The 6,000-nt window shown below is 58.7% G+C and overlaps 1 protein-coding gene across 10 annotated transcripts in view, besides 2 other annotated features; it reads right to left on the bottom strand.

Annotated features, from left to right (window-relative positions):
* TSPAN9 (tetraspanin 9) overlaps positions 1–6,000 on the bottom strand; it is a 209,181-nt gene continuing 203,181 nt past the window's right edge. For all 10 annotated transcript variants that reach the window (XM_047428125.1, XM_047428128.1, XM_047428127.1 and 7 more), the window contains 3 exons: positions 5,231–5,362; positions 4,743–4,826; positions 1–3,515 (listed from right to left, as the gene is read on the bottom strand). In XM_047428125.1, coding sequence (XP_047284081.1) covers positions 3,444–3,515; positions 4,743–4,826; positions 5,231–5,362 — 288 coding nt within the window. In that variant the 3' untranslated portion in view covers positions 1–3,443. The remainder of the gene's footprint in view (positions 3,516–4,742; positions 4,827–5,230; positions 5,363–6,000) is intronic.
* Positions 1,333–1,833: an enhancer, noted in NCBI's record as "H3K4me1 hESC enhancer chr12:3393893-3394393 (GRCh37/hg19 assembly coordinates)". NCBI's record gives its function as "activates a minimal SCP1, AML or CMV promoter by ChIP-STARR-seq in naive H9 embryonic stem cells {active_cell/tissue: H9 hESC(naive)}" and the evidence as "EXISTENCE:reporter gene assay evidence [ECO:0000049][PMID:30033119]".
* Positions 1,834–2,334: an enhancer, noted in NCBI's record as "H3K4me1 hESC enhancer chr12:3393392-3393892 (GRCh37/hg19 assembly coordinates)". NCBI's record gives its function as "activates a minimal SCP1, AML or CMV promoter by ChIP-STARR-seq in naive H9 embryonic stem cells {active_cell/tissue: H9 hESC(naive)}" and the evidence as "EXISTENCE:reporter gene assay evidence [ECO:0000049][PMID:30033119]".

The raw sequence follows: 6,000 nt of genomic DNA, 5'->3' as shown, positions 1-6,000 counted from the left end.
TGCTTTTGACACTTTATCCGTTTTTATTTAAAAACATGCTAAAAACATGGTGTTCCATAAAGCCAGGACCAGGATGAAGGAACGCACAGATACGGCAATGCAAGCAGAAAGTGCATCTGAAACCAACAAGCGTGCTCACCCTGCTCTCCCTCCCGTGCTGCCCGGGGGCAGGCAGGTGGGCAAGGAGGGGGCAGGAAGCCCCCCAGGCCTCACCTCCTGAGTCCCCAATCAGGGCAGGGAGGCCAGGCCCCACCCTGGACTATTGACTCACTGCAGTGGGGAGGAGGAAAGTGTGGGGCACGGGAACACAAGGGCTGGCCGGACTCTGAGAAGCTGAGGGACAAAGAATGGACCCCAAGCACCTCACGCCCAGCTCCCATCCTATGCCACGTCCCTGCTAGTTAGCACCTCCACCAGTGGGTGGGCAGGGGCTGGAGAGGAGGGGACAGCCACTTCCATCCACCCAGACTGCTCTTGGGCCACCAAAGCCTGGAAAGATGGCCATCTAGTTCCAAGTCAAACCAGGACACCTGCAAGAGGGTCCGGGGCAGGGCCACCTTCCAGAGAGCCTGAGACACAGGCCCATGCTGGAGGGAGAGGGGGGTGACACGGCTCAAGCTGGGGGAGGGGTGCAGGGGGAGACTTGCACCGTGACACCTGCTTCCACCACCCAAGAGCAGTTCTCAGCCTGTGCCCGCTCACCCCCACTGCAGGATGGCTGCAGAGAAAGGCTGAGTCTGCAGCGGATGCCCCCCTGCAGTCCTCTACAAACCCTGAGGGACTTTCTGAGACAAGTGTGTAAATTGCTCACATCAGACCTGATTGAACTGACTCTGGCAAAGGGAGCCGTGAGTGAGGGAATTCTCTCAGGGGAATTCTACCCCAGTGAGATCACAGTCAGGAGAAACTGAAGAGAGGCTGTGCCACCTTCACTGGCATCGCTGGGTGTGGCCCTCTGAGTGGAAGGGGCTCGAAGGAACACCCACTCTGTGCACACAGACTTCCGCCCAATGTAGACTAAGCCAAATAACAAAACGGCCAAGCGCAGAGTGAGTAAAGAAGGCAGCGTGGGGACCTGTAGATGAGGCTCTGCAAACAGACGGATGAGGTGGGGGCTGGTGGGAGCACTGTGGCAAAGGCTCTGGGGCCAGAGGCCACCCCTGAAGTACTCCAGAAACAGAAAAGATTTTCAGGGAGGTTGCACATCTCCCAATGCACTAGGCTTTTGCTGTTGATATTAACAAAAATTAAAAATTGCATTGATAGGCATAAACCAACCCACCCACCCCACCCACAGCAAAAAACGCACGAGGCCCCGGGTCCCACCGTGCAACTGCAGCACTTGTCTGCTGAGTCTCTCCGCCCGGATGTGTCTGCTCCGGAATCTGCACTTTGGGGGTTCCTGCGGAGGCGGCTGAAACTCCTTACCAGGAAGCCAGGCCAGGGGACAAGGGCAGGGCAGCTTTGCTCAAATGTGGGCCTCCCCCACATTCCATCAGCACCACTGCCCCTGTCTCAGGGAAGCGGTCTTCACCCTGCACAACTCACAAGACCACCCTACTCTCCACTCCCACCCCCACAAAACACGAATCCTGATAATGCCAACGGTTCTGTCCTCCTGTTCCCGATTTGTGTGTTACTTAAGGTGAACAGAGGAGTGACTGGTGCTGGGTGGCCGTGTCTCAGCTCTTGGATCAGACAGGCAGGTGGAGGCTGGAGAAGAGACCTGGCCCCAGTGGGAAACCAGGGTGACAAGACAAACTGTATAGGAAAGGCAGCCGCCCACCAAGGCCCCACCTGATCAAGTGCAGCAGACGCTGGCTAGCGGGTGAGGTCCCCGTGCTCAGTCCCACGGATTCGCGACCTTTTTGAACGGCAAAACAGTAAGCCAGACCAGCTGCAGTTTGGAGGGGGCGCCCTGCTGCAGCTGAATCCCACTCCTGGCCTCACTCCCCAGCCCGTTTCTCTCCCATGCCCAGCTCTGCACGTGCGTGACTCCGGCTGCTTTCTTCCCGTGGCTCCGGTAACAAGAGCCAGTCTGACCTCTCTTGGGTTTTCTGTATTTCTTCTCCTTGGGATCACAGATGATATAATCGCCACCCAACCCACTGCTGATGTCCGTGGCCCCAGGGAAGGAGGCGAAGATCTTGGGACCCAGGTGGACGTGATTCCCTCCTTCCCAGCAGGGCAACCCACAGCTGAGCAAGGCTGGCGGGGAGGACCGTGGGTCCTCACCCCTGTGGGTCCCCTGCCACTGTCCCAGCACAGCAAAACCTAAGGACTGCTTCCCCTTCCAGAAGCAAGGGGGAAAGTGAGCAGCATCCGAACTAGAGAGGTATTTGTCTGACAGTTTCTAGCAGGAATGTCTGTGAAATAACTGGGGTGTGCAGAACCTGTTGTGGGAATACCCACATGGGGTGGAAGGGGAAGCCTCGCGTGCCAGCAGAGAGCGGGAGGAAGGGAGAAAGAAAAAACCAACAACTGCTCATCAGTGAAAAGTCTAAGGACCCCTCTAGCTCTGCCACAGCACCGTGGGGCCCCCCTGCCCTGGCATTTCCAGCTCGATTGGTTAGCAAACGCCACCTCCCGTGCAGGGGCACCTCCAGCCTGCTTCACGCTCCACCCGCCTCTCCCAGGCTCCTGTCCTCAGACACCAGGCCTGGCAAGGTCCCGTGTCCTGTCCACGCCCCCTCCTTCCCACACGTTCTGAGGGCGCAGGCGCGCCCCATCCGAGAGCCTCCTGGGTGTCGCACGGTGGTCTGTCCTGATTGAGACTGGACAGATGTCCTCTCTTCCCACCCATCCCTCACCCTCAGGGAAAAAAAGTCAAACCATTAAAGAAATCAACACAGTAAAAAGTTACAAATCAGAAATCTAACCCTAAACTTATCTGAGAGATAATATTCCTGAATAATCATAGAGTAAAATAAAATAAAAAAGTTACATTGTAAGGTATAAAAAGCCTGGGCGAGATGCTCCAGGGGCCTTGCCCAGAGGCCGGCAGACCCCCGCCCCGCCAGGTGCCCCATGGTGGCCATGGATGTCGCAGCCCCCGCTGGGGCGGTATCTCCACGGGGCGGGCACTCTGCTCCCCACCCCATGTGGGGACAAAGTGTCAGTGTGAGGAAGGGCAGGGGCAGAAGCCCATCAGTGCCGGGGGTTCCTCCGGAGCGCACCCCAGCCCACCCTGTCGTCTTTGGCAAATACGCATATGCAGATGCAGGAATCCAGGGGCCCCGAGCCCCAGGTCTCCGTGTGCCTCCTCCTCCCTGGCACTCCACCCACTGAGAAGTCCGAGGCTGAGGCAGGGTAGGTGGGGTAGGGCAGGCTGTGGGGGGTGGGTGCAGGGGTCATATCTGGAGAGCGCAGGCAGGTGACACAAAGCTCAATCCTCTTCCCTCCACAGGGCAGCAGGGCGGGGTGGGCACTCCCGGCCAGCCCGCTCATGCGTCGTACTTCTTACCAGTCCGGTGGATGTGCTGGAAGAGGGTCATGGAGAAGGCCATGCCCAGGATCTGAAAGACACGGGGAGGGGCCTGAGGCAGGAGCTGCAGCAGCCTGGACCTGACCTCAGCCCCGAGAGGCTTGGGATGTCACAGGGCACCTAGAGCAAGCGGGGATGGCCACTGGTGTGCCAGGAAAATGCTTATGGAATGAAGACATGAAGAAAACCGTGAACAGAGGTCACCCTGGAGACACACACAGGTGAACTCTGGCTCAGCCTCGTGGGGCTGTTAGACCAGAAGCCATCGAACCTCTGCAGGATGCATACGTGTGCCTACTCAGAGGGGCGCTGCAGGCACGGAATGCACGGAGGACCTGGCTCTACGTGGGGGCTCACAGGAGCCAAGGTGGGGAGTGGGAGGTGGCAGGGATCATTCAGGACTCAGGCCAGCCGGGCACGGTGGCACTTTAGGAGGCCAAGGTGGGAGGATGGCTTGAGATCGGCCTGGGCAATAGAGGGAGACTCCATCTGTTTTTGGAAAAAAGTTGTAAATCATTCAGGTATGGTGGTGTATATGCCTGTAGTCCCAGCTACTTGAGAGGCTGAAGTGGGACGATGGCTTGAGCCCAGGAGTTTGTGGCTGCAGCGAGCTATGACGGCGCCACCGCACTCCAGCCTGAGCAACAAAGTGAGACCCTGTCTCTTAAAAAAAGAAAAATAAAGGACTCCTGTCAAGCCTCTCTTGTCTGCTTGTGGAACACATGGTGCGATGTCTTGGCAGCAGCAGGGCTGTCTTTCCAGTGATGTGTGCTCAGGACCACGTCACTACTCGTTTGTGCCCCTTCCCTCCTGAATCCTCAAAGGAGCCGGGGACCCAGAGGAGTGCAGGAGGCAGAAGGAAGCCCGGTGTGGTCTCACGGTCACCACAGAGAGTGTGCCATGTGCACAGGCTGTAAAGATGGTGACCGGGGGACACCGTGTGTGTCTTGCATGGCTCTCTGAGCTCAAGGTTTGGGCAGAACTGGGGGAACCCACGGGGGTTGACTCCAGCTTCAATATCCCAGCCTGGGCCTGGCCACAGGCAGCCCTGAGCACCACTCTCAGTGCTGAGTAGACACGTGCTCTCATATCAGAGCTCTGCGGAAACGGTGGCAGGCACAGCTGCTAAGCTTGAATAGCTGTGATGAATTCCAGACCCTCCGCCGTGTACCAACACTGCTTTCACTTCTCTGTGCTTCCTTCCCTCTGAGGCTGAGGCCAGCAGGGTGGGTGAGGCTGCTGGGGACGCCCCTCTTACCTGCATGATGAGGATGCACATCCCCACCGTGCCCAGCACGTGCTTATTGTCATCGAACCACATCTTCACCTTTTCATAGCAGCCCTGGGGAGCGAGGCCCACGAGGTTAGGGTCCCAGCCCAAGCATGCGCTCCCTGCAGCCCAGCCCCCAGCTCACTCTCTCCTTCCACCTCGTCCTCGCTCTTACCTCCCAGCCCTCCCTGGCCTCAGCCCTGTCCCCATCCCTTGGCGCAGCCTCCGCCCCACCCGCAAGGCCAGCTGCAGAGCCTCAGACCCCATTCAACCCCTCGCCCTCTGACTCTCCCAACTGTGGGTCCAGCCCCACCCCCCATTTTCCACCTGTCTTTTGGCTTTATTTTTGTGAGCCCCCCACCGCCACATTCAGCCAACCTCTTAGTGTCCCGGGCCCAGCCTCCCCTATAGGGCTCCCCGTGCCGGGGCATCCACACACGGGCTCTTGGACCCAAGCGGTCCATCCCCAGCCTCACCGTTCTCCACAAAGGCGTGGTGGCGTTGCGCCCGCAGCCCTGGGAGTTCTCCATGCAGCAGCGGTCGGGAACCGTGTTCTCCCCCAGCACTGGGTACCAGTCTGTGTAGTCAGTGACACCACAGCATCGCATCTGGCCAGCAGGAATGGAAGGGGCAGTCAGACATGCCATGGCCCGCCCCTTCCTCCCCAGGGCCTTCCCCTGCCCAGGCCAACCCCAGTCCCCGCAAAAGTGGCCACCCTGCAGTTAAGGGAGGAGACAAAGGGCTTGCTTCTTGTCCCTTCTTTGGGCTTCAGCCGGGCCCACTGGAGAAGTGAGTGAGCACTCCTTCCTGGAGACCAGAGCGGGAGAGGGCAATGCAGCCCACCCCTCGGGCTGGGCCCCTTGGCTCAGCCCTGTGCTTGCCCACCAGCACCTCTGCTCTTTCTGTAAACCGTCCCAAGCTGACTGCCACCCAACCCCCTGCCGGCCCCTCCCCAGGGCTTAAAATGGGAGCATCTGGGACTATGGACTTGTTCTCCTCCTAGAGCCAGGGCCTCCTCACCTAAGCCAAGCCCCATCATGGAGGCAAATCTGTTGCTAAAATAAATTCAGTCATTCATCCCAAAGCTCAGCCACAGCTCTCTCAGGCCTGCCCCTCCTGTATCCTCATCCCTCCCTGGCTGTACCTTGCTGTATCACATCTGACTCAGCAGTTCAGGCAAATGCCCCCGTGGGTACCACTCCACTCCCGGCTAAAATCCAGAAAGCACAGGTGCCCGGCCAGGTCA

Source organism: Homo sapiens, chromosome 12 (assembly GCF_000001405.40).
Source record: "Homo sapiens chromosome 12, GRCh38.p14 Primary Assembly".
Classification (NCBI taxonomy): domain Eukaryota; kingdom Metazoa; phylum Chordata; class Mammalia; order Primates; family Hominidae; genus Homo; species Homo sapiens.
The sequence above is the reverse complement of the archived record's forward strand: the minus strand, read 5'-3'. Positions and strand labels throughout refer to the sequence as shown.